The sequence below is a fragment of the Homo sapiens genome, chromosome 22 (assembly GCF_000001405.40).
Source record: "Homo sapiens chromosome 22, GRCh38.p14 Primary Assembly".
Classification (NCBI taxonomy): domain Eukaryota; kingdom Metazoa; phylum Chordata; class Mammalia; order Primates; family Hominidae; genus Homo; species Homo sapiens.
In genome coordinates, this window is record NC_000022.11 from 40,948,831 (window position 1) to 40,976,209 (window position 27,379).

The window sequence follows — 27,379 nt, forward strand, 5'->3', positions numbered from 1 at the left end:
TCCGGCTGCCTTGGCCTCCCAAAGTGCTGGGATTACAGACCTAAGCCACCCCGCCTGGCGGATACGTGAAACTTTTTTTTTTTTTTTTGAGATAAACTCTCACTTTGTTGCCCAGGCTGGAGGCACGATCTTGGCTCACTGCTACCTCCACCTCCCGGGTTCAATCCATTCTCCTGCCTCAGCCTCCTGAGTAGCTGGGACTACAGGTACCCGCCACCACGCCCGGCTAATTTTTTTGTATTTTTAGTAGAGACAGGGTTTCACCATGTTGGCCAGGCTGGTCTCTAACTCCTGACCTTAGGTGATTCTCCCACCTCGGCCTCCCAAAGTGCTGGGATTACAGGCTAGAGCCACCTCGACTGGCCCTGAGACTTCTTGATGTATTTATTTGTTGACTTGCATATTATTCCCTAACTAGGGGTTTATTTGACTCTGTTATTATGTCTCTTCTGTTTAAAACAGAACCTGGTAAATATCAATACTTTTATTGAATGATTGATAAATATGTCTTCAAGACCTTAATTTACAATGGGTTTCTAGTATTCCTGTCAGGGCCTGTAGGCACACAACAAATTAACAACAGAAATTTTAACAAAGTCATTAAAACTTGGGCTAAGAAAAACTTTGTAGGGTTCTTGTAGCCCTTTAAGGTCTCACACAATTTTTCTTTCCAAGTCTGGATAAAGCTGTGGTGGTCTTTTCCCGGATCTGTTGTTGCTGTTTATAACTAACAAACAAATCTCAGTTCTTTCTCTTTTATTATTTTTTTTGGGGGGGAACGGAGTCTCGCTCTGTCACCCAGGCTGGAGTAGAGTGGCTCGATCTCGGCTCACTGCCACCTCCACCTCCCGGGTTCAAGAGATTCTCCTGCCTCAGCCTCCTGAGTAGCTGGGACTACAGGCGCGTGCCACCACACCCAGCTAATTTTTGTATTTTTAGTAGGGACGGGGTTTCGTCATGTTGGCCAGGCTGGTCTCAAACTCCTGACCTCAGGTAATCCACCTGCCTCGGCCTCCCAAAGTGGCTCCCAGGCGTGAGCCACCGCGCCCAGCCTATTCTTTCTCTTTAGCAATAGAGTCAGCACGCTCCATTACCCGCCAGTTATCTTTTAAGAGAAAATACAAGGCTTCAAATGCACCTGTACGACATCTAAGAGTGCTCTGGCAGAGTCACACCTCTGCAAGGTTAGAGATGTCAAAGGGAGTCCTGGTCTAGCCAGAAATGGGAGAGTGACAAAGTACAGGTGCTTGGGTCGGGTGGGATGGCTCACTCCTGTGATCCCAGCACTTTGGGAGGCCGAAGTGGGAGGATCACTTGGGCCCAGGAGTTCGAGACCAGCCTAGGCAACATAGTGAGACCTTGTCTCTATTTTTTAAAAAAATTAAAAAAGAAAAAAAAAAAAAGCGGCTCTAGCACTTTGGGAGGCCGAGGCAGGCGGATCACCTGAGGTCAGGAGTTCGGGACCAGCCTGGCTAACGTGGTGAAACCCCGTTTCTACTAAAAATACAAAAAATTAGCCGGGCGTGGTGGCGGGCGCCTGTAATCTCAGCTACTCGGGAGGCTGAGGCAGGAGAATCGCTTGAATCCTGGAGGCGGAGGTTGCAGTGGGCCGAAATCGCGCCATTACACTCCAGCCTGGGCAACAAGAGTTAAAAAAGAATGCCTCACAAAAATTCAAGAAATACAGCGACTGCAGATGGGTCGGTTTCACTACAGCACAAGCAGCGGAAAAAGGACACAGATCGGGGAGAAATCACCCTACAAAGATGACAACTGAGGAATGCGGAGTGGGGACTGACACACGTTACGGTGAAACCGTGCACCACGACCAAAGGCGGTCCTAGGACTGCGACTATGTGGGCGCAGAGGCCACCCCCCAGGCTTGGCGGGCGAGTAAAGGCAGGGCTGGGGGCCTGCTCAGTGTGGCCTTAGGGAGGAACTTCGGGGGTCTCCTCTCTCCCCATCGAATCCCTGAGCAGTTCCCGAACAGAAATCGGAGACCAGACGGTGCCTGGGCCCCAGCCCTCCCACGGGGACTGCACCTTGGGCCTGGCTCGGAAGCGGGTCAGAGTCTGCGAAAGACCAGCGAGGACTCTTGGGTTTCGGGGCAGGCCGCGGGCGCCCACCCACGCCAGCACCGGGAGCCGCGCGGCGACTCGGCGAGCCCGGCAGGCAGGACAGGACTGCGGCGCAGGTCTGGCTCAGGCGGAGGAAGCAGCCGCCGCCCCAGCTGACGGAGTGCGGCCGGGGGCTTCCCAGAGGAGGCGGCGACGTCGAGCCCTTTCGAACGTTTCCACCCGGCTAGCTCACGTAGCCTCGGCCCCGCCCGGCCCCGCCCGGCCCCGCCCCACCCACTCCGGCCACCGCCCCCTCCCCGGCCTACAGTTCGCGGGTGGGGCGACCTGCGACAGCCCCTTTAAGAGGCGTGGTCACGTGCTCCGCCCCCACCTCCGCCTCGCGCGCCAGTAAGGGGTGGGGTGCGGGAGGAGGTGCCGGGGAGGTGGGGGGAGCGAAGTGTGCGCTGCTGCGCAGGCGCGGTGGTCGGACGACAGACCGTGTGTTTCCAAAATGGCGGCAGCGATGGATGTGGATACCCCGAGCGGCACCAACAGCGGCGCGGGCAAGAAGCGCTTTGAAGTGAAAAAGGTTGGGTCTCGCCAGCGCCTTCCTCAGGGAAGCTAGAGAGGCGCGGATCTGGCTGGCAGGCCCGAGGATGGTCGAGGCGCGGAGTAAAGGGTTTCATTTCAGGGCGTTCCTGGGACCGGGTACCACGAAAGGAAGCCGGGGGGCGGGTCTTAGAGTTGATCGGCGTGACGGCGGCCCACTGTTGGGGGAAGTGTTGGTTTCGCTGTGAGGCTAAGGGGCCAATCACAGAGCTGCTTATTGAGATACGCGGGGTTGCGACTTGGCGGCGGGAGCCAAGCGCTTGAGCTGTCACTGGAGTGGTTGAGAGGTGGGGGAAGGACAGGGTAGGGTGGGGTGGGGTGGGTGGAATGGGGAGTCGAAGCGAATGCGGCGGTGGAGGATGGGGCAGTGCGGCGAGAGCCTGGAACCTGAGGTCCTACCGCATTAGAGGCCTCTGAGGACCCCCCTTGGTGATCTTGCTCCGCCCCTTTTTGAAGCTTGGGGTCCTCTCACTTGGAGGGGTCCTCTCACTTGGAGGGATCCTCGCTGAACCGAGGCCTCACACTGCCTGGTTAGAGTCTGGAGTGTAATGCTTGGCTCTTCTGAGACGTCTGTTGGCTTTTCACACAACCACCCCACTCTTGGGTTCTCTGTCACGTCCAGAATCTCCCCCTTCCAAAATAATAATAAAAAGCATGGTGGAACTTGTTAAGAAAATCCGAGCCCAAATCCTGTGGCAGTTAGGGAGGGTTGAGTACTAGTCGCGAACGACTTGGTAAGCGTGGGAAAGCAAAAATGGAACGTGTCTTTTTGCATGAAATGCCTTTTAGTGGTTTGCCACAGTTTGGGAGAACAGTATCGATTCTCACCTAACATGAAAGCTGTTCAAAATGGAGATTCTAAAATAGGGAAGATATTCCTAGAACATCTGGCTAAACACTGACAATATCCCCCGTCCTAGTGCTTTTTGGTGTCTCATTGTGGCCACTGCTGCTCAGTTACAGCCAGCAGCCATATTGAAAAATAATAGAAGTAGGGGCTTTTCCTCCACCTTGAAGCTGTGATGTGAAAAGTGGTAAAGAAGTTACTAGGCACTGAGAATGGGGTTTGAAAGCGAAGAAGGTTTGGGAGTATTTGTAATTGAGGAAGCCAGAGTTGAATGAATGAAATTCTGTTAAACTCTTACTGGAATTATTATCTTAATAGAAGAGTCTAAACATATAAAAGTTGAGAACATCAGTTTATTTTATGGTAAGAATCAAAATTCTAGTGAATTGTAGAATTTGTTATGAAGTAATCTAAGATTTAAGTGATGACCTTGTTCTGTGTACTGACACGGGTATTTAATTATCCAGCTTATCCCATGATTACCCATTTTATGATCCAGTCATTATCTTAGTTCATTCTGTTCTCTAGCTTTCACTTCATTGCTCATGCTTCCAGAGCTGTGTAGAGCAGATACTTATTCAGATTTTGAGCTCTTCTGCAACTGCCACCAAAACCTGCACAGAAATTCAAGTTTGTGCCCTTTTTTTTTTTTTTTTTTTTTTTTTGAGATGGAGTCTCACTCTGTCGCCCAGGCTGGAGTGCAGTGGCACGATCTTGGCTCACTGCAACCTCCGTCCCCCAGATTCAAGCGATTCTCCTGCCTCAGCTTCCCAAACAGCTGGTATTATAGACACCCGCCACCAGGCCTGGCTAATTTTTGTATTTTTAGTAAAGATAGGATTTTGCCATGTTGGCCAGGCTGGTCTTGAACTCCTGACCTCAGTGATCGGCCCGCCTCGGCCTCCCAAAATGCTAGGACTATAGGCGTGAGCCACTGCACCCGGCCAGACTAAATTATTTTAAACTATAGGAAACAAATTAAAAGATGACATTAATTTCTGTGTTCATATACTCAGCCTTTTGGAGAATAGAACATACGTGTAGTCTACTGTTGTCTTTGGTATAATAAGATTAACGTAATATCCAAAAACTTTTGTTTGGTGGTTCCCTGTGGCCAAAGAGATGATAACTGCAGCTGCAGCCTGAGGTCCTAAAGAGTATGTGTGTGTGTTACAAGCAGAATGCACTGTTCCCTCTTTTTGTCTTTGCAGTGGAATGCAGTAGCCCTCTGGGCCTGGGATATTGTGGTTGATAACTGTGCCATCTGCAGGAACCACATTATGGATCTTTGTAAGTAATTGGAGGAGGATGGGAGGAAGTTGAGAAGGTTGCAGAGATTGTGGCTATCTTGATGTGACTGATTTTCTTCTTCACACGAGGAGATAGCAAGCCTACTCTGAGCACTCGGTCTTCTGTATCTAGTCTGTTGGTGTGTTTGAAATAGAGTAGTTTTTTTATGATGTCCTGGAGGCATACCCAGCTCTCAGAATAAATCTACTCAATCTAAAGATGGCAGGGACACATTTAGAATTAATTGTGGACGACAGGCACTGTTGATTTTTCCTGCATATCTTCCATCTTGTACCTAGACTCAAAGGTAGAAATAGTGAAAGGAGGAAAATAAACTTTGAGCTAAAATATTCTGAGGCCAAGCGCAGTGGCTCATGCTTGTAATCCCAGCACTTTGGGAGGCCAAGGCGGGCAGATCATTTGAGGCCAGGAGTTGACCAACCTGGCCAACATGGTGAAACCCTGTCTCTACTAAAAATACAAAAATTAGCTGGGCGTACTGGTGCATGTCTGTAATCCCAGCTACTTGGCAGGCTGAGGCAGGAGAATTGCTTGAACCTGGGAGGCAGAGGTGGCAGTGAGCCGAGATCACACCACTGCACTACAACCTGGGCGACACAGCAAGACTCAAAGTCTCAAAAAAAAAAAAAAGTCTATCTGATCTAATTTTTGCTGGTCATTGTTTACAAAGGAAAGAAGCGTTAAGGAGTGAGGATTTTGTATGTTAGGCCCAAACATAATAAAAAGGAAATCATTGCCAACATCTAAATAAATAATTAATTGCACTAAAGAAATTTCATTTAAATCTCCACATATTTTATTACATGTAGTGGTCAGCACATAGTGATCTGATTATAGTCTTTGATGAACTGATTTCCTGTCCTTACAGTAGAAGGGACAAGAATGTTGATCACACCAGGAACAGTTGAGGTTACTTTTTCATCCGGGAACTAAAATGATTTGTTACTGAGGCCAGAAATGGAGGAAAGAAACTTTAAGTTTCTAGAAATGGAATTATAGGAACTTATTTTTCAGATCACTCACCTGCCTTTACAACTTTGTCTTGAGTCACTCCTGCTCACTCTGTTAGTTTACCTGGATGCTTTTTTTTTTTTTTAACTGACCACGGTGGCCAAAGCAGCCATGGCCCCGGCCAGTTTTCCATTTTTTTTCCTTATTCTGAGATGGAGTCGCCCAGGTTGGAGTGCAGTGGCGTGATCTCAGCTCACTGCAACCTCCGCCTCCCGAGTTCAAGTGATTCTCCTGCCTCAGCCTCCTCAATAGCTGGGATTACAGGCACCTGCCACCACACCCAGCTAATTTTTGTATTTTTAGTAGAGACACAGTTTTACCGTGTTGGCCAGGCTGGCCTCGAACTCCTGACCTCGGGTGATCCGCGTGCCTCTGCCTCCCAAAGTGTTGGGATTACAAGCATAAGCCACCATGCCCGGCCTGCTTTTCCATTCTTAAGTGTCCATGCTCTATTTTAGAGCCCTTAAATAGCCTAGTCTTTTTTGCCTAGAATATTCTTCACCTCTTCTCTTCCTTGGTTTTGTCTAACCCAGCACTGTCCAATCTGAATGTAAGCCAGTACAAACACGTATATAATTTTAAATTTTCTTTTTCCTTTTTTTTTTTTTTTGTTTTTTTCAGAGACGGGATCTCGCTTTGTTGCCCAGGCTGGTCTCGAACTGGCTTCAAGTGATCCTCCCACTTTGGCCTTCCAAAATGTTGCGATTATAGGCGTGAGCCACTGTGGCTGGCCTGAAATTTTCTAGTATCCACATTCATAAAGTAAAAAGAAAATAAAAAGGTGAAATTAATGTATTTTATTTAACCTTATATAGTCAAAATAGTTTTACTTCAACATGTAATTGATGTAAAAAAAAAATGAGATATTTTACATTCTGTCTTTGTACTATCTTTGAAATTCTGTGTATTTTACACTTACAGCACATCTGGATTCAGACTAGCCACATTTCAAGTGCTCAGTAGTCACATGTGGTTAATAACTACTTTATTGTGCAATGTAAGACTAACCCATAGTTGAGCTTTAGATCTTATCTTAAACTTGCTCAGATGTTTTCAACTTGAAAAGCACGAATCAAATATTTTCTGTTGGAAAGCAGTCATGGCTTATACTGGTCATGTATTGCCCTTGGCTTCTTTGAGCTTTGACACTGTTTATCTCTTCACACTACAGCCAAGGAAGATCAGCACCTACCATAATGTTTAATATAGATGCCGTGAACCCATCACAGAAAAACATATGCAGGGTTTCAAATGTGTTTGGGTGGGGTCTTTGATTACATGCTTGCCAGTTTCTCGGCCTTGCATTTTCACAAGGAGTTATACCCAGAGAAAATTTTACTTTCTTGGGGCTCTGTTTTGAAAATAGTTAATGATTTTTAATGATTTTATATAACCCTGATTTTTTTTTCTCTATATTTAAGTCAGTGTATATGTGTCTCTGGATATGAGAGAATGTACTTCTTAAAAGGACCACAGAAGACAAAGGCGATCTATATTGTCTTCTCTTAGAGTGAAATGCTTGAGACATCATATTAGGCTTTCAGTGGGATACCTGTTTTGTTTCATAATATATTTTGAATGTCAGATGAAGTAGGATATTGAAATCCTATAACAAAAACTTATGAAAGTATTTTCTAAGTCCTATCTTTTATTTATCCAATGAATATATCCTGAGCATCCTGGTAGGCACCAGGATAAAACAATGAGTGAGATCGGGCAGGTCTTTACCTTTTTTTTTTTTTTTTTTTTAAAGACAGAGTCTCTGTCGCTCAGGCTGGAGTTCAAGTGATTCTCCTGCGTCAGCCTCCCAAGTAGCTGGGACTACAGGTGTGGGCCACCTCACCCGGCTCATTTTTTGTATTTTTATGAGAGACAGGGTTTCACCATGTTGGCCAGGCTGGTCTCAAACTCCTGACCTCAGGTGATCCATTCGCCTTGGCCTCTCAAACCGCTGGGATTACAGACATGACCCATTCAAACTCCTGGCCTCAAAAAAACCACCCCCCTTGGCCTCCCAAAGTGCCGGGATTATAGGTGTGAGCCACCATGTCCGACCTCAAGTCTTTACCTTTAAGAAACACACTCTTAGGCCAGGCGTGGTGGCTTACACCTGTAATCCCAGCACTTTGGGAGGCCAAGGCGGGCAGATCACAAGGTCCAGAGATCGAGACCATCCTGGCTAACAAGGTGAAACCCCGTCTCCACTAAAAATACAAAAAATTAGCTGGGTGCGATGGCGGGCGCCTGTAGTCCCAGCTACTTGAGAGGCTGAGGCAGGAGAATGGCGTGAACCCAGGAGGCGGAGGTTGCAGTGAGCTGAGATCGCGCCATTGCACTCCAGCCTGGGTGACAGAGTGAGACTCCATCTCAACAACAACAAAAAAAAGAAACATACTCTTAGGCGGGGCGCGGTGGCTCATGCCTGTAATCCCAGCACTTTGGGAGGCTGAGGCGGGGGGATCATGAGGTCAGGAGATCCAGACCATCCTGGCCAACACAGTGAAACCCCATCTCTACTAAAAATACAAAATTAGCCAGGCGTGGTAGCACGCACCTGTAATCCCAGCTACATGGGAGGCTGAGGCAGGAGAATCACTTGAACCTGGGAGGCAGAGGTTGCAGTGAGCCGAGATCCTGCCATTGCACTCCATCCTGGACAAAAAGAGCAAAACTCTGTCTCAAAAAAAAAGACACTCTTGGCCAGGTGAGGTGGGTCACACCTGTAAACCCAAGACTTTGGGTGGCTGAGGCGGGCAGATCGCTTGAGCCTAGGAGTTCAAGACCAGCCTGGGCAACATGGCGAAACCCTGTCTCTACAAAAAATTAGCCAGGCATGGTGGCTTATGCCTGTGGTCCCAGCTACTTGGGAGGCTGAGGTGGGAAGATCCCTTGAGCCCGGGAGGCAGAGGTGACAGTGAGTCAAGATTTTGCCACTGCACTCCAGCCTAGGTGAGAGAGTGAGACCCTATCTCAAAAAGAGAAACACTGTTTATTTTTTATTTTTATGTATTTTTTTGTTAGAGACAGGGTCTCACTCAAGTGCCCAGGCTGGAGCGCAGTGGCACAGTCATAGCTCACTGCAGCCTTGACCTGGGATCAAGCAGTCCTCCTACCTCAGCCTCTAAGTAGCTGGGACCACAGACGTGCACTACCACACCTAGCTAATTTTTTTTTTTTGGAGGCGGAGTCTCACACTGTCACCCAGCTGGAGTGCAGTGGCACGATCTCGGCTTACTGCAGTCTCCACCTTCTGGGTTCAAACAATTCTCCTGCCTCAGCTTCCCGAGTAGCTGGGATTACAGGTACCCGCCACCACACCTGGCTAATTTTTTGTATTTTTAGTAGAAATGGGGTTTCACTATGTTGGCCAGGCTGGTCTCGAGCTCCTGACCTCATGATCACCCATCTCGGCCCCCAAAGTGCTGGGATTACAGGTGTGAGCCACCGCATCTAGCTGCTAATTTTTTAATTTTTTGTAGAGATTGGGTCTTGCTGTGTTGTCCAGGCTTGTCTTGAACTCCTGGACTCAAGCAATCCTCCTGCCTTGCCCTTCCAAAACACTGAGCTTACAGGTGTGAGCCACTGCCCCTGGCCACACACTTTTATTATAGACACTGAGGAGAAGTCTGAGTGCCATAACTTAAAAAAAAAAAAAGGATTTATATGGGAAAAGAACTTAGCAAGTAAAGAAAAAAATGGATTTATCATTTTTATAAAGACAATTTTTGTTAAAGATGAAAGTAAGAATCTAGATTTAGCAACGGTTGTATTTTAATAAATCTTGTCTGACCTTAAATGAGTAATTATATACATAGCTCTAAGTAAATAAGAATGATTATGGCTGTGCCCTAGTCGGATTCTGAAGACTTCCTCTTTTAAGTCCATATTGATTCTGCATGCCCTCCTGTACCTTTGTATTTATTTTATTTTACACTGTCTCCTTCCTTGGTTGTATTAAGGAGTTGCTGAAAAATCAAATATGTGAGGTTTTATTTTCTCTATTACCTCTGGTAATCTTATTCCTGATGATGGGGAATCTTCATCATCTTAGACCCAGCCTTGGCCCAGAAGATGTTAGCATCTACCTAAAACTACAGATCCATCAGTATTTTGGTTTGGTTTGGTTTGGTTTGGTTTGGTTTGGTTTGGTTTGGTTTGGTTTGTTTGAGACAGAGTCTTGCTCTGTTGCCTCGGCTGGAGTGCAGTGGCATGATCTCGGTGCACTGCAACCTCTGCCTCCCAGGTTCAAGCTATTCTCCTGCCTCAGCCTCCTGAGCAGCTGAGACTGCAGGTATGCACCAGCATGCCCAGCTAATTTTTGTATTTTTAGTAGAAACAGGGTTTCACCATGTTGGCCAGTCTGGTCTCTTTAACTCCTGACCTCGAGTGATCCACCCGGCTCGGCCTCCCAAAGTGCTGGGATTACAGGCGTGAGCCACCACGCCCGGCCCCGTCAGTGTTTTGAAAGTGTAATCTGTCTACTCTTGAGATGAAGCCATTGCTTCCTTAACAGTTCTTTGGTGGTACAGCGTTTTTATCAAAGCTTAAAGGTCCCCAAGCTTTATAAATCACATGATAGGCTTCTGCCTTGGCAGGGGTGTGACATGAACCCGTTATGTGCCACTGTCAACCTGTTCTGGGTTGACAGTGAACAGTTCCTGCCCGTTTAAACTAACTGGACTCAACCCCTGTACTTACTCTCTGCAACAAAAGCTGGAAAACTTTTGTATTGAGCACATTTTACACTAATATTTAATCATTTTCCCTGCTATATCCCTTCTTATTTGGTACTCTAGATTGCAGTAATATCCCTCCTATACATTTTTGTTCTTTGTTAGGAATTTTGTAGTAAAGAATGAATCTGGCCGGGCTCGGTGGCTCACGCCTATAATCCCAGTACTTTGGGAGGCCAGGACGCGTGGATCGTGTGAGGCCAGAAGTGCAAGACCAGCCTGGGCAACGTGGGGAAACCCCATCTCTACTAAAAATACAAAAAATAGCCAGGCATGGTGGCGCATGCCTGTAGTCCCAGCTACTTGGGAGGCTGAGGCGGGAGAATCACTTGAACCTGGGAGACAGAGGTTGCAGTGAGCCAAGATTGCACCAGTGCCCTCCGGCCTGGGGGGACAAAGCTAGACTCTGTCTAAAAGAAAAAAAGGAATGAATCTTGGTCGGATGCAGTGGCTCACGCCTGTAATCTCAGCACCATGGGAGGCCGAGGCAGGCAGATCACTTGAGGTCAGGAGTTAAAGACCAGCCTGGCCAACATGGTGAAACCCCGTCTCTACTAAAAATACAAAAAATTAGCTTGGTATGGTAGTGCACACCTGTAATCCCTGCTACTTGGGAGGCTGAGGTGAGAGAATAGCTGGAACCCGGGAGGTGGAGGTTGCAGTGTGGAGATTGTGCCACTGCCCTTCAGCCTGGGCAACAGAGCGAGACTGTCTAAAAAAAAAAGAATGAATCTGTATTTGTCCCGTATTTCTTCTATTTATAGAAATAGTTTTTGTTTGCTTGTTCAAGTACCAAGAGCCTAATTTGCACTTGGCATAGAAAGACCAGGTCCCTGCTCTGTGGGAGCTTTGAGTTGAGGGGGAAGGAGGGAGGTCAGGTATGTAAAGAGATACTCATAATTGATGTGTTAAGAGTGCCTGAAGGAGAGGAAAATGACTCAGGGTGGAAGAGTCAGGAAAAGCTTCAGTCAAGAAGTAGGGATTTAAGCTGGGTCTTGAAGGGTGGGGAGGACTTGAGAGTGATAGGAGGAGGAGCATGTTCCAGGTATGGCAGGGACGAAGGAAAGGACTCTACCGTGAAGGGAGCCTGAAGGGTTCTTTAGGTTAGTAGTGCCATGGCCACAGTCAAAAGAAAGACCCAGATCAAATTTAAACACGATAATGTACCTTGAAACAGTTTTGATTTTCACTTTAATAATTGTGGCTCTTATTTAGCTAATTTTATAATACATAGTCTTCCTCTAAGTTAGAGGATCCAGCTTAAAGGACATCATATTTACTTTTCTCTGCCATTCTTTTAATTATAGTAGTGTATTCCAGTTTCAATAAGTTCTTAAATACACTGCATAGACCCTAGATCCCTTTTTTGTTTGTTTTTAAGATGGAGTCTCGCTCTTTCACCCAGGGTAGAGTGCAGTGGCGCGATCCCAGCTCACTGCAACCTCTGCCTGCCAGGTTCCAGCGATTCTCCTGCCTCAGCCTCTCTAGTAGCTGGGATTATAGGCATGCGCCACCCACCACACCCGGTTAATTGTTTGTATTTTTAGAAGAGACAGAGTTTCGCCATGTTGGCCAGGCTGGTCTCGAACTCCTGACCTCAGATGATCTGCCTGCCTCGACTTCCCAAAGTGCTGGGATTACAGACATGAGCCACCACGCCCGGCCGAGCCACCGTGCCTGGCCTTTTTTTTTTTTTTTTTTTTTTTGATAACAAGGTTTTGCTCTGTCACCTAGGCTGGAGTGCAGTGGTACGATCATGGTGCACTGCAGCCTCAACCGCCTGTGCTCAAGCCATTCTCCTGCCTCAGCCTCCTTAGTAGCTGGGACCACAGGCATGTGCTACCACAACTGGCTAATTTTTTTATTTCTAGAGATGAGATGTTGCTGTGTTGCCCAGCCTGGTCTTGAATTCGTGGGCTAAAGTGATCCTGCTGCCTTGGCCTCCCAAAGTGCTGGGATTACAGGTGTGAGCGACTGTGCCTGACCCAATTCTTTATTTTTATTTTATTTTATTATTTTTATTTTTATTTTTTGAGACAGAGTCTCGCTCTGTTACCCAGGCTGGAGCGCAGTGGTGCGATCTTGGCTCACTGCAAGCTCCGCCTCCCGGGTTCACACCATTCTCCTGCCTCAGCCTCCTGAGTAGCTGGGACTACAGGTGCCCGCCACCACGCCTGGCTAATTTTTAAATATTTTTAGTAGAAACCATGTTAGCCAGGATGGGCTCGATCTCCTGACCTCGTGACCCACCCGCCTCAGCCTCCCAAAACGCTGGGATTATAGGCGTGAGCCACCGGGCCTGGCCCCAATTCTTTATTTTTATCAGTTGGCAAACCAAGTTACTCTGTAGTGTGAATCTGGCTAGCAAAAGTAAGTGCTTTGCTTTCTCTGTGTGTGTGTGTGTGTGTGTCAGCCTTACTCTGTCACCCAGGCTGGAATGCAGTGGTGTGATCTCGGCTCACTGCAGCCTCTGCCTCCTGGGTTCAAGTGATTCTCCTGCCTCAGCCTCCTGAGTAGCTGGGATTACAGATATCCACCACCATGCCTGGCTAATTTTTGCCTTCTTAGTAGAGAGGGGGTTTTGCCATGTTTGCCAGGCTGGTCTCGAACCCTGACATCAAGTGATCCGTCACCCTCGTCCTTCCAAAGCATTGGGATTGCAGGCGTGAGCCACTACTCCCAGCCTTTTATGGTTTGTTTGTTTGTTTGTTTGTTTTTTGAGACAGAGTCTTGCTCTTTTGCCCAGGCTGGAGTACAGTGGTGTGCAACTTCGGCTCACTGCAACCTCTGCCCCTTGGGTTCAAGCAATTCTCCTACCTCAGCCTCCCAAGTAACTGGGATTGCAGACATGTACCACCATGCACCACTAACTTTTGTATTTTTAGTAGAGATTGGGTTTTGCCGTGTTGGTCAGGCTGGTCTCGAATTCCTGACTTCAGCCTCTCATAGTGCTGGCATTACAGGTGTGAGCCAACATGCCCGGCCCACTTTCCACATTTTCGAAGAGTGAAAAGAAAAAGGTATTATCATGGTATCTCTTCCCCTAAAACCACACATGCCCATTAACATCTAGTTTTGTTTTTTTTAATAGTTTTACTTTTTTTTTTTTTTTTTTGAGACAGAGTCTCACTGTGTCACCCAGGCTGGAGTGCAGTGGCGCAGTCTTGGCTCACTGCAACCTCTGCCTCCCGGATTCAAGCAATTCTTCTGCCTCAGCCTCCTGAATAGCTGGGACTACAGGCGCCCACCACCACACACACCTGGCTAATTTTTATTTATTTTTTTATTTTTATTTTTATTTATTTATTTTTTGAGACGGAGTCTTGCACTGTCGCCCAGGCTCCAGTGCAGTGATGCAATCTTGGCTCACTGCAAGCTCCGCCTCCTGGGTTCAAGCAATTCTCCTGCCTCAGCCTCCTGAGTAGCTGGGACTACAGGCACCCGCCACCACGCCCAGCTAATTTTTTTTTTTTTTTTTTAGTAGAGACGGTGTTTCACTATGTTGGCCAGGATGGTCTCAAAGTCCTGACCTCATGATGTGCCTGCCTCGGCCTCCCAAAGTGCTGAGATTACAGGAGTGAGCCATCGCGCCTGGCCTACTCCTGGCTAGTTTTTCATATTTTTAGTAGAGACAGGTTTCACCATGTTGGGTGGGCTAGTCTTGAACTCCTGACCTCGTGATCCGCCTGCCTCAGCCTCCCAAAGTGCTGGGATTACAGGTGTGAGCCACCACGCCCAGCCATAGTTTTACTATTTTTCACCTGTAGTAGTTTGAAGTAATTCTCCCCTATTAAATAGTTTCTCCTGAAGCTTTTTATTCTTCAGAAGGGAGACTCCATTTAGTTACTATGATCAGAGAAAGCAAGTTATGCATTAGTAATTCTTGTTCTGTGAATATTTATCCCCAGTTGTGCTTTACCCATCAGATCTTGATCTCAGTCAAGAACTCATTGCAGGCCAGGTGCGGTGGCTCATGCCTGTAATCCCAGCACTTTGGGAGGCTGAGGTGGGCGGATCACCTGAGGTCAGGAGTTTGAGACCAGCCTGGCCAACACGGAGAAACCCCATCTCTACTAAAAATACAAAATTAGCCAGGCATGGTGGTGTGCGCCTGTTAATTCCAGCTACTTGGGAGTCTGAGACACGAGAATCGCTTGAACTCGGGGGGCGGAGGTTGCAGTGAGCCAAGATTGTGCTATTGCACTTCAGCCTGGGCAACAAGAGGGAAACTCCATCTCAAAAGGAAAAAAACTCAGTCTAGGCAACATGGTGAAACTCCATCTCTACAAAAAATACAAACAATTAGCTGGTGTGGTGGCACGCACCTGTAGTCCCAGCTACTCAGGAGGCTGAGGGAGAATCACCTAAGCCCAGGAAGTCAAGGCTGCAGTGAGCCATGCTCATGCCACTGCACTGTAGCCTGGGCAACGGGAGTGAGATGTGCATTTCCCATTTGTTACTCTTTTTAAACAAGGATAGGAAATCGTCAGAAAGCATACTGTTATCTCTGTCTTCTCTGTTCTTCCTTTCCCACATTCATTAAAAAACAATTATGGCTAATTAACCACTTGAGAATTGTTTTGGCTGCTATAGATTGAAACGTTGCTGCTCCCAAGGTCCAGTGATCCTGTTGCTCTTGTTCCCACAGGCATAGAATGTCAAGCTAACCAGGCGTCCGCTACTTCAGAAGAGTGTACTGTCGCATGGGGAGTCTGTAACGTAAGGAAGCATCTTTACCTGTCAGCATGGCTTGTAAACATATTTCCACTTTTCCTGCTTTGCTAGTCTTGAAAATAACTAGGGAAAAAAATGACTAGTCCACCTTTCTCCCAAAAGGTATACAAATAGTAAAAAAGATTTTAAATCATAATACTATTCACCTGTTACAGGGTAAAAATTACAGTTACTGCAAAGAGGCACTTATTTGTCTTAATTATAAAGTGGACCCAATTTTGTTAGCAGTATTTTGGGGCTTCATCTATGGGAATTGCCTTCAAAACCTACATGCACCCTTTGGAATATTCTCGTGGTAGAACTTTGTACCTTTGAAACAGGCTTTTTTAAAGACCAGGTGTCTAATGGAACTAAGTTTGATGAGTAAATTGAGTGTTGAAGTCTCTGTGTATGTGTGTTTTAAGTGTGGCGTATGTACTGAGATAAGATTATTTTTTAACATGGCTTATGCCAGAAATGTTTTGTGTAGCTTTATTGGACTGAATGGCCTTCCAAGAGTGTGACAGCTGTGAAGGATAACAAATATCAAATATGTTAGTTCTAGCATGTGTTAAAAATTCATTCTTTAAGCTGTAAAGTCCCAGTCACATGAGCTAAAATTGTCTTGTCAGGGCCTCCTGTGTCATGGGGACAGAATACTCACAGTTCCCAGCATGACACAGGGATAAGAGATTCTAGAGTCAGACCACCATTCCCTGTCTTTGTGACTTACTTGCTAAGTGACGTTAGGCAAGGCATTTAACGTCTCCAATCCTGGGTTCCCTCATAAAATGGGGCTGATAGTGGACCACATAAAATTGTAATCCGGATTAGATGATTTATGTTAAAATGTGATTAAACAACTCCCGGCACATAGTAAGCACAAGTGCTTGTTAAAAAAAATCTAAATAGGCCGGACGCGGTGGCTCACGCCTGTAATCCCAGCACTCTGGGAGGCCGAGGCGGGTGCATCATGAGGTCAGCAGATGGAGACATCCTGGCTAACACAGTGAAACCCCGTCTCTACTAAAAATACAAAAAATTAGCCGGGTGTGGTGGCAGGCGCCTGTAGTCCCAGCTACTCGGGAGGCTGAGGCAGGAGAATGGCGTGAACCTGGGAGGTGGAGCTTGTAGTGAGCCGAGACCACACCACTGCACTCCAGCCTGGGTGACAAAGTGAGACTCTGTCTCAAAAAAAAAAAAATCTAAATAAATACAAATTTGAGGTAGAGGTGTTACTGTGTAGATGGTGTTCTCAGTAGTTTTTCCTGTTGGGTTGCAACTCTTTTTCCTACCTACACTGGTTTTTTGTTTTTTTTTTTGTTTTTTGTTTTTTGTTTTTTTTTTGAGACGGAGTCTCACTATGTGGCCCAGGCTGGAGCGCAGTGACGCAGTCCCGGCTTACTGCAACCTTTATCTCCTGGGTTCAAGTGATTGTCCTGCTTCAGCCTTCCGAGTAGCTGGGATTACAGGTGTGTACCACCACACCCAGCTAATTTTTGTATTTTTAGTAGAGATGGGGTTTCGCCATGTTGGCCAGGCTGGTCTTAAACTCCTGACCTTGGGGCGATCTGCCAGCCTCGGCCTCCCAAAGTGCTGGGATTACAGGCGTGAGCCACCGTGCCCAGCCCCTACCCGCACTTTCGGGTACACCTTCTTCCATCTTTGTTGGGACCCTTTGGCCAGGCTCACAATAGACCATGTTGGCCATGGGGGAGCTTTAATCGTTCATGGGGATAAAGGAAGTATATTGGGCTCTTTGCCCTTTCTGGCATACAGACATATACTAAGAACCATGTTCCTTTATGTGGAAAGAAAAGAGAGTGAACATCCCCTTAAATTTGGCTAAGGAGAGATTCTCTGAGAGAGCCTGCCGTAGAAGAGAGCCAGCATGGTGTGGCAGAAGGCTCTGGATTAGTCCTGGGTTCTAGTTCTGGGTCTTCTACAAACCAGCTCCATGAATTAGGCAAGTCACTTGTCTGGGTTTCAGTTTCCTGTCTGTAAAATGAAGATAAAAATATCTGTCATGCTTGCCTGCCAGGGTTGATGTGAGGCCTCAAATGAGGTAATACATGTCAACATCTTCTGTAAACTGTCAAGTACTATAAATTTATCTTCTGTAAATTGTACTTTGACCGCTAAATATATCCATTAATACATCTTAGTAAATGTTCAGGGGTGCTGTCACCTCCCTGACACCTCCTTTACAGCCCCCTTTTCCCCAGCGCGTGGTATGCTCTGACTTAGTTGGGCTCTACCAGGACACCGTACTGCTGCAAAGTGCTCAGTGGGTGAGGTGGGAGAGGGAGAAGCTGTCGAATACCCTTCGGTGAGCCCGACCCCAACACCTGATGGTTAAGAAAAATGTCTCTGCTTTCTGCCTTTTGGAAATTTTGCTCTTTCTCTTTTTCACAGTGAGTTATACAAGAGTCAGCTGAAAAGGGATCTTCCAAAAGGCTGTCACTCTAAGAGAATATTTGTCCTCTTGGGTATCCCTAGTGTACTAGCTGTGGATTCCACTCTTAGTTACTGAATTATATTTTTGTCTTTGTCAAAAAACATTTCACAAGATAATAATCCATATTATATAATCCCTTAAGTTCCATACATACTTTGGGAGACGTACCGACCAGATTTCAGTTGTTATTAAATGAAGCTTGTAAAGCTTTTGTTGTTTTGTTAGGGTGAGTAATTTCTGCCCGTGCCCCACCACAGTGCACCAATCACAGACGAAATGAAGGAAGCACTTGCTGCGTCTGTCCTAATACGCACATGAGCAGGGGGAGAAGTGCTCATTGCAGAAGCATTGTGATTAGCATCTGCATGTCATGAGCCCACGCCAAAAAACTGCATGCAGATTGTCCTTTTCCCAAATCTAAGCAGACTTCTAGCTCCCTGTCAGTTACCAGTGTTCTTGATACTCTTGTCTTTTTACTTCTTGTCTTGATTATGAAATAAGCCTTTTGATGCTCTTTAGGCTGCTTGTGTGCCGTTTGTCCCTCATAAGAATACTTCCTTTTACCCCAATTTTCTTTTATCTCATTCCCTAAGACAAAGTCCCTCACCCATTAAAGGCACGTGAAGTACTGAGCTCTTGTAATATCAATATGTCTGTGAATAAATCTAGAAATAAAGTTTCTTTGACCAGAGCTGAGCTGGGTGTGGGGAGGTTGGGGAAGTGCCCGTCTCAGTTCTGGGTGGGCGGCAGTGACCATGCACTTCTCTACCAAGGGCTGGGGAGAAGGCTCTGCTCCTACAGGTCGCATTCTCCAGGGGCAGGAGGGTGGGAGGGAAGCTAGAGACCCAGAATGGGGATATTTGAAATCTGCATTGATGAGGGGCCTCCTTTCCCAAAGAAAGTGGAAGTATCCCCTTACAGGCTGAATGGGACCAAGGAGCCACATTCCACGTTCTCTTAAATAGAAGAGAGCTCAGTGCTGGCACATACTCCTGTGCTTCCTGAATGATTTCCTTTAGTAGTAATGACATTTCTAACAAATGCTTTGTTGGAAATACCCTTGCATCTAACCAAGATATAATCAGTTGTTGAACTTTTGCCTCTCGTTGTCTTCTTTTCTTTTCTTGCCCACTATATGTCACCCATGCCACTACCCTGTGGGACCTGTTGTCGCTCGATGGCTGAGCCTGCATAGAGTTATTTTTAATAAAATATATGTTTTCTTTCAGCATGCTTTTCACTTCCACTGCATCTCTCGCTGGCTCAAAACACGACAGGTGTGTCCATTGGACAACAGAGAGTGGGAATTCCAAAAGTAGGTATCTTTGGTTGTTTTGACGGGGCTTTTTGACTTGCCTCAGGCTGAAAGGAGCGTGGTCTTGGGGGATGGAGACATGATACATGCCTTGTTTTTTTTAAAACTAGTTTTTGGTTACTTAAGCTAGGACTTATCTATATGGAAAATGCACAAAGGATTAGCCAACATTAGACATTTGCAGCCTAGGGTTTCCCAACCTTTTTTTTTTTTTTTTTTTTTTTGAGACGGAGTCTCGCTTTGTTGCCCAGGCTGGAGTGCAGTGGTGCTATCTTGGCTCACTGCAACGTCCACCTCCCAGATTCAAGCGATCCTCCCACCTCAGCCTAGCAAGTGGCTGGGATTACAAGTGTGTGCCACCATGCACAGCTAATTTTTGTATTTTTCGTAGAGATTGGGTTTCACCATGTTGGCCAGGCTGGTCTTGAACTCCTGATCTCAACTGATCTGCCTGCCTCGGTCTCCCAAAGTGCTGGGATTACAGGTGTGAGCCACCGTGCCCGGCAGGTTTCCCAACCTTCTACGGTCTGTGAAAGTAGAAAATGTGATAATCTATGAACTCTTAAATATTTCCAGAATTACATCCTAATGAGGCTCCATGGACTACCTAATGTCAGGTAGCTTTGGGCTAGACTTGTATCCACTTATCATATTTCACTGGTTTATTTCACAGTGATTAATTCTGATATAGCATTTATGGCTATCCTGATTAGATTTTATTGTTATATAAATAAAACATGACCTGGTAAACTTTTAAAAATTTAAATGGTTGAAAGGGTATACCACAGAATATGAATTTCCCACTGTAGGCCCCTGCTCCGGCTTGCTGGAGCTAGCCATCAGCAACAGGACAGCTTCTTAGGAGATTTTCTGACTATCTCTTATATGTCCCGGTATTTACATGGTTGTGTGTATATATATATTTTTGTTAACATAAAAGTGAGTATCCTATACAGTAATTCACCTTTTTTTTTTTTTTCATTTTGTACATTTTGGAGATTTTCCATTTCCACAAATAACAAACTACCTCATTTCTAATGGTTGCAGAGTATTTCTTTATGTAAATGTACCTTAACTTTTTTCTTTTCTTTTTTTATTTGTTTGCATGTTTTTAACATTTTTTATATTTTTTAAAAAGTCAGTCCCTGGCCAGGCACGGTGGCTCACGCCTGTAATCCCAGCACTTTGGGAGGCCGAGGCAGGCGGATCACCTGAGGTTGGGTGTTCAAGGCCAGCCTGGCCAACATGGAGAAACCCCGTCTCTACTAAAAATGCAAAATCAGCTGGGCGTGGGGGCACATACCTGTAATCCCAGCTACTTGGGAGGCTGAGGCAGGAGAATACTTGAACCCAGGAGGCGGAGATTGTGGTGGGCTGAGATCGCACCATCGCACTCCAACAAGAGCGAAACTCCATCTCAAAAAACAAAGTCAGTCCCTATTGGTGGACATTTGTGTTTCCAGTTTTTCACTGATGCAAGCAATGTGAAGGGAGAAACATCCTTATACATGAAGCTTTGTGTAAATGTGTAGCTGTATCTGGAGCAGTAATTCCTAAAAGAGGAATTTATGGGTAAAGAGTATGGCTGGGCTTGGTGGCTCACACCTGTGATCCCAACACTTTAGGAGGCCAAGGTGGGCAGATTGCTTGAGTCCACTAGTTCGAGACCAGCCTGGTAACATGTTGAAACCCCATCTCTACCAAAAAATAGTAAATTAGGCCATGCCTGATGGCTCATGCCTGTAATCCCAGCACTTTGGCAGGTTGAGGCAGGTGGATCATTTGAGGTCAGGAGTTTGAGACCAGCCTGGCCCACATGGTAAAACCCCGTCTCTACTTTAAAAAATACAAAAATTAGCTGGGCGGTAGTGGTGCATGCCTGGAATCCCAGTTACTCCAGAGGCTGAGGCAGGAGAATCACTTGAGCCTGGGAGGCAGAGGTTGCAGTGAGCAGAGATCGTGCCACTGCACTCCAGTCTAAATGACAGAGTGAGACCCTATCTCAAAAAAAAAAAAAAGAAAGAAAATTAGCTGGATGTGGTGCCATGCACTTGTAGTCCCAGCTGCTCTGGAGGCTGAGGTGGGAGGATCGCTTGAGCCCAGGAGGCGGAGGTTGCAGTAAGCTGAGATCATGCCACTGCACTCCAGCCTAGGTAATAGACCCAATTTAAAAAAAAAAAAAAAAAAAAGCCCAGGTGTAGTTGCTCACACCTGTCATCCTAGCACTTTAGGAGGCTGAGGTGGGTGGATCACCTGAGGTCAGGAGTTCAAGACCAGCCTGGCCAACATGGTGAAACCCCCTCTCTACTAAAAATACAAAAATTAGCCAGGCATGGTGGTGCCTATAATCCCAGCTATTTGGGAGGCTGAGGCAGGAGAATCATCTCTTGAACCCGGGAGCCCAGAGGTTTCAGTGAGCTGAGATCACGCCACATCAGCCGGGGCAAAAGAGCAAAACTTCGTCTCAAAAAAAAAAAAAAAGGAATGTATATTTTTGTTTTTGATAAATAGTGTCAGGTTTTCCATTTCTAAGAATACACACTAATTTATACTCCCTCCAAACAGTGAAGCAGAACTCCCCTTTCTTCATTTCCTGCCAGTGCTTCATTATACAGTTTTTCCATCTTAGCCACTCTGATAGGTGACAATCAGTATTCGATTTTCATTTTTGAATTTTCAGTAAGATTGGGCAATTGTTCATGTTTTTATATCTCTTACGCTTTTCTGTGAACTGCTGTGTTTATCTTCCTGCACGTTGCTTTATTTTGAATTATTGGTCATTTTCTTTACTGAATTTTTTACGGGAAAGGAGTTTCTTAATTTAAATACGTCTTTATTAGGCTATTCTTGGGTTTAAAAAAACCAAAAAATAGGATTCTTTTGTTTGTGAAATGTTTAGAAATCCATTATTGGTGCAGTGATTTTGCCTTTAAATTCAATAATTTATTTTGGTAAAACATTTGGAAGTCTTATCAATGCGTATTCAGTTTTTAAGAAACCTGCCAAATACTCAGTATCTGAGTGGTACTGTTGGGCTCCCTTCAGCAAAATATATGCTAAGTACCGTGTAAAATATAAAAACATTTGAGACGGTCCTTCCTGCCCTTGGAGCTTGCATTCTACAGGGAACCATAACAGGAATACATGTCAAGGCAGAGGACTTTTCATAGTTTTCAGGGGGCCTTTGTAATTGGCTCTGCCCTACAGCAGGCTCAAGGTTCCATTTTAGACCAGAATGGTCTCGTTTTGCCAGTACATGTGCCCAGGGCTAAATCTAAGAATTGCGGGGGTATGAAGAATTCCTTATCTGGGGCTTTGACTCTGCCACTCTAACTGGTGACTTTCCCAGGTGGTAGTTATCAGTGCTTTGGGAAAACAAATTCTTCAGCTTTCTTTAATCTGATACGATTGTTCTACAGCCCATCTCACATGCTAGAGCCTAACCTATGTGGAATTTGGCACAACAGCTTTTTAAAGACAATATTCAAGTAGATTTCTTATGAGAAGCTGTGATCCAGAGTTCCAGTGCCCTAGTTTCTATCCAAATAACAAATTATTTTAATCAGGTTAACTGCCTAAAAAGATCCAGGACAAAAGATAATAATGAGGGATCTTGTGTTCAAGAAATCTGTTTATATGTGGAAGAAATTCCTTGGCTTTATTTATTTTTATTTATATATATATTTTTTGAGACAGAGTCTCACTGTGTCACCTAGGCTGGAGTGCAGTGGTTGTGATCTCGGTTCACTGCAACCTCCAACTCCCGGGTTGAAGCAGTTCTCTTGCCTCAGTCTCCTGAGTAGCTGGGATTACAGGCACCTGCCACCACGCCCAGCTAATTTTTGTATTTTTAGTAGAGACGGGGTTTCACCATGTTGGCCAGGCTGGTTTTGAACTCCTGACCTCAGGTGATCTGCCCACCTCAGCCCCCCAAAGTGCTGGGATTACAGGAGTGAGCCACTGCACCCGGCCCCCGTTAATTTTTATAATCTTCTTAGAGCCAAATTTTGGTTTCTGGGGAAAACAGAAACCTCCAAAATCCACGCCTAGCTTCTCTTCTCTTTGTATAGAACTGACTGTAATCAGAGTTGTAATTGGAGCTGATGACAGATTTTGAAATTGAAGGCTGATCAATTGCTATTCTCATTATTAGCTTTACCCTAAACATGCCTGAGTACTGGAGTTCAGGTGAAAATAGGCCGCCATGATCAGGGCAGCCCGAAAGTTCAAACTGTCTGAGCCCCTGTTGGGAGTGAGCAGGCGGAGCTCCCTTTCACAACCACCAATGACTTTTCCCTCTCACCTCCCTAATACCACCAGGCAGCTACTGGCACCTGTCAGGTGGGCATGGTTGAGTCAGAGGGAGAGCCTGTCCCTAAGAGGGGGCAGTAGGCAAGAAGTCCTGTAAGATGGGGAGGGGAAAGGGGAATCACAGCGACAGCCAAGCTAGTGTCAGTGTCGTCACCTAATCCTGGAGCACACTGTGATCACTTAGGTTCTAACTAAAGTTGCTTATGTGTTTAAGCAGGTTTTATGTCTCAAACAGGAAATTATCTTGGAATTAATCAGAGTAATTTACTTTGTCTTTCAGGTATGGGCACTAGGAAAAGACTTCTTCCATCAAGCTTAATTGTTTTGTTATTCATTTAATGACTTTCCCTGCTGTTACCTAATTACAAATTGGATGGAACTGTGTTTTTTTCTGCTTTGTTTTTTCAGTTTGCTGTTTCTGTAGCCATATTGTATTCTGTGTCAAATAAAGTCCAGTTGGATTCTGGAACGGATGCTCTCTCTTGTGTATGTGAACAAAGTGAACATAAATGAAGAGTCTCCCCTTCCAAGGCTGAAAACTCAGCTTTTGAAAGTGAAATGTTTGTTCATCGGGGCCAGAGCAGGGTTGTCCTCTGAGCGCATCACTTAGTGACGAGGAATCCAACAGCTCAAGGCAGAGTGTGGATCACCGGCTCCCGAAAACAGCAGTCAGCCCTTCTTTCTCCTGTGTGACAGCAGTGGGCAGCTGAAAGAGGGAAGAATGTGGGATTCAGTCATCAAACCCAGTTCTGAGTCCTGGTTCCACAGCTTGGGTACTGATGGCAATCTTGGCCAAGTTGTCTCTCTACTCTGAACTTTCCTCCTCTGTACTGTGGGCTTCTGAGGACTAAGTGGCATCATGTGGGCACAGAGAGAAGCTTTGTAAAATGTAAAACCGCTATACAAATGTGACCTTTGGTTGTGTATGACAGCAGTCCCCAACCTTTTTGCCACCAGGGATTGGTTTCATGGAAGACGATTTTTCCATGGACCGGGGGTGGGGCGGGGGTGTGCTTGGGGATGGTTTTGGAACTGTTCCACCTGAGATCATGAGGCAGTAGATGGACCGCGCAACCTAGATCCCTCACATGCACGGTTCGCCAATAGGGTTGAAGCTCCTATGAGAATCTAACGCTGCCGCTGATGTGACAGGCAGAGCTCAGGCGGTAATGCTCGGTCACCACCCTGCTCACCTCTTGCTGTACAGCCGGGTTCCTAGCAGGCCATGGACTGGCATCCACTCCGCAGCTCAAGGGTTAGGGAAGCCTGGTGTATGACATGTTGCTTTCTCTTCTTAGCTTAGAAAAATAAAGATATATATAATCTTGGCTGGCAAAGGGACAATTTAAGAACTCAAGTTAAAAATTGATATTGGCTGGGTATGGTGGCTCATGCCTATAATCAGGCGATTACAAGGTGAGGAGTTTGAGATCAGCCTGACCAACATGGTGAAACCCCGTCTCTACTAAAAATAAAAAAATTAGCCAGGCGTGGTGGTGTGCGCCTGTAATCTGAGCTACTCAGGAGGCTGAGGAGGAGAATCCCTTGAACCTGGGAGGCGGAGGTTGCAGTCAGCCGAGATCGCGCCATTGCACTCCAGCCTGGGCAACAAGAGCGAAACTCCGTCTCAAAGAAAAAAAAAAAAATCTTGGGAGATGGAAAGAATTGTCAGTTCTAATACTAATTCAATGGTTAATAATATAGACTTTTTAACTGAGAAGCAACATAGTTTGTTGCAGTGGTTCTCAAAGTATCATCTGAGGATTCCTGACAAGGGGGTACCTGAAACCCTTTCAGGGGGTTCATGAACCGCAAGTCTATGTGAAAGTTTTTCTTTATATTCAACCAAAGCAGCATATCTAATGAAGACACCGACTTAAGAATCCAGTGTCTTCTATTAAATCAGATGTAAAAGACATTAGCAAAAATACAAAAACAATGCTAGTCTCACTTTTTTTGTTTAAAAAAATAATTTTAATAAAAATATGCTCATAAGTGATGGGTTTTTATTCTTTTCAGTCATTTTTTTAAATTTCTGGGCTTTTTTTTTGTGGGGGGCGGGATTTGAGACATGGTCTTGCTCTGTCCCCAAGGCTGGAGTGCAGTGGTGAGATGACAGCTCACTGCAGCCCCAACCTGCTGAGTTCAAGTGATCTTCCAGCCTCAGCCTCCTAAGTAGCTGGGATTACATGCATGCACCACCATACCCAGCTAATTTTTTTTTTTTTTTTGAAAGTCTCGCTCTTGTCGCCCAGGCTGGAGTGCATTGGCACCATCTTAGCTCACTGCAACCTCCTTCTCTCGGGTTCAAGCGATTCTCCTGCCTCAGCCTCCCGAGGAGCTGGGATTACAGGTGCATGCCACCACGCCTGGCTAATTTTTGTATTTTTATTAGCAACGAGGTTTCGCCATGTTGGCCAGGCTAGCCTCAAACTCCTGACCTCAATCCACTCGCCTCGGCCTCCCAAAGTGCTGGGATTACAGATGTGAGCCACCCCGCCAGGCCCCACACTGAGCTAATTTTTAAATTTTGTGTAGCGTCTTGGCCGGGCATGGTAGCTCACACCTGTAATCCCAGCACTTTGGGAGGCCGAGGCGGGCGGATCACGAGGTCAGGAGATCGAGACCATCCTGGCTAACACGGTGAAACCCCGTCTCTACTAAAAATGCAAAAAATTAGCCGGGCGTGGTGGCGGGCGCCTGTAGTCCCAGCTGCTCGGGAGGCTGAGGCAGGAGAATGGCGTGAACCCGGGAGGCGGAGCTTGCAGTGAGCCGAGATCGTGCCACTGCACTCCAGCCTGGGCGACAGAGCGAGACTCCGTCTCAAAAAAAAAAAAAAAAAGAACTTCGGCCAGGCGCAGTGGCTCACGCCTGTAATCCCAGCACTTTGGGAGGCCGAGGTGGGTGGATCACAAGGTCAGGAGATCGAGACCATCCTGGCCAACATGGTGAAACCCCGTCTCTACTAAAATACAAAAAAATTAGCCGGGCATGGTGGTAGTCCCAGCTACTTGGGAGGCTGAGGCAGGGGAATCGCTTGAACCCGGGAGGTGGAGATTGCAGTGAGCCGAGATCGCACCACTGCACTCCAGCCTGGAGACAGAGTGAGACTCTGTCTCAAAAAAAAAAAAAAAAAAAAAAAAAAAAACACTTTAAAGTCTAACCTGGAACAAAACTGGCTCCCCCACTAAACTCACTAAACTACCACAGTACCTATTTTGTAGCAAGCACTCAAATGGAGGCAGCTGCTACTGTTCCTATTTGTATCATTTTGGGACTACCATCCTCAGCAGAAATTCCTTCTTTTAAACCCTTTCCAGGCAGCATTCAGACTGCATAAATACTTTCATTAATGAAGAACACATTGCTTTTTGCACAGATGACACATTACATATTTGCAGAATTCTGCTTGGGTTTTGATCAGAATTCTTTGTGTAAAGTACAGAAATCCAGCTTCTGCTTGGGCAAAAGGGAAATTTCTTGGAGGGCTATAGAGGTCTGCAATGCAACAGAAGAAAGGGCTGGAGACGCAGCTGGATCTAAGACTGAAGAGAAACAGGGAATCCATGCGGCTGGGATTCTCACTGCTTCTCTTTTTTATTTTTTTTATTTTTATTTTTGGAGACAGAGTTTTGCTCTGTCACCCAGGCTGGAGTCCAGTGGCGTGATCTCAGCTCACTGCAACCTGCACCTCCCAGGTTCAAGTGATTCTCCTGCCTCAACCTCCCGTGTGCCACCACGCCCGGCTAATTTTTGTATTTTTAGTAGAGGCGGGGTTTCACCATGTTAGCCGGGCTGTTCTCGAACTCCTGACCTCAGGCGATCTGCCCACCTCGGCCTCACAAAGTGCTGGGATTACAGGCGTGAGCCACCGCACCCGGCCCTCACTTCTTCTCTTTCACAGAGACCAGCTTCAGACATGACAGGAAATCTGTGGATGCCAAAGACTCTGCCACCTTTCCCACAGCTTCTGCCACAGGCAAGGGACCAACTCCAAGTTCTTTCCTTAAAAAA

The 27,379-nt window shown here is 46.1% G+C and overlaps 1 protein-coding gene across 1 annotated transcript, besides 5 other annotated features; it reads left to right on the forward strand.

Moving 5' to 3' along the window:
* Positions 1,510 to 2,100: an enhancer, noted in NCBI's record as "H3K27ac hESC enhancer chr22:41346344-41346934 (GRCh37/hg19 assembly coordinates)". NCBI's record gives its function as "activates a minimal SCP1, AML or CMV promoter by ChIP-STARR-seq in naive H9 embryonic stem cells {active_cell/tissue: H9 hESC(naive)}" and the evidence as "EXISTENCE:reporter gene assay evidence [ECO:0000049][PMID:30033119]".
* Positions 1,510 to 2,564: a biological region, named in NCBI's record as "H3K27ac hESC enhancer GRCh37_chr22:41346344-41346934".
* Positions 1,985 to 2,564: a silencer, noted in NCBI's record as "silent region_13775". NCBI's record gives its function as "represses an Ori minimal core promoter by ATAC-STARR-seq in GM12878 lymphoblastoid cells {active_cell/tissue: GM12878}" and the evidence as "EXISTENCE:reporter gene assay evidence [ECO:0000049][PMID:35858748]".
* RBX1 (ring-box 1) lies at positions 2,548 to 24,479 on the forward strand. The gene is made up of 5 exons (NM_014248.4): positions 2,548 to 2,646; positions 4,725 to 4,803; positions 15,217 to 15,287; positions 18,969 to 19,054; positions 23,646 to 24,479. The coding sequence occupies exons 1-5, from the start codon at positions 2,569 to 2,571 to the stop codon at positions 23,656 to 23,658; spliced, it is 327 nt and encodes a 108-aa protein (NP_055063.1). The 5' UTR covers positions 2,548 to 2,568; the 3' UTR covers positions 23,659 to 24,479.
* Positions 2,615 to 2,824: an enhancer, noted in NCBI's record as "active region_19103". NCBI's record gives its function as "activates an Ori minimal core promoter by ATAC-STARR-seq in GM12878 lymphoblastoid cells {active_cell/tissue: GM12878}" and the evidence as "EXISTENCE:reporter gene assay evidence [ECO:0000049][PMID:35858748]".
* Positions 3,280 to 3,868: an enhancer, noted in NCBI's record as "H3K27ac hESC enhancer chr22:41348114-41348702 (GRCh37/hg19 assembly coordinates)". NCBI's record gives its function as "activates a minimal SCP1, AML or CMV promoter by ChIP-STARR-seq in primed H9 embryonic stem cells {active_cell/tissue: H9 hESC(primed)}" and the evidence as "EXISTENCE:reporter gene assay evidence [ECO:0000049][PMID:30033119]".
* Positions 24,480 to 27,379: the final 2,900 nt, after the last annotated feature.

Coding starts and splice junctions, on each gene's coding strand:
- RBX1 (NM_014248.4), top strand. CDS start 2,569: ATGGCGGCAGCGATGGATGTGGATACCCCGAGCGGCACCAACAGCGGC. Junction 4,804..15,216: donor GAACCACATTATGGATCTTT/GTAAGTAATTGG, acceptor TTGTTCCCACAG/GCATAGAATGTCAAGCTAAC. Junction 15,288..18,968: donor TCGCATGGGGAGTCTGTAAC/GTAAGGAAGCAT, acceptor GTTTTCTTTCAG/CATGCTTTTCACTTCCACTG.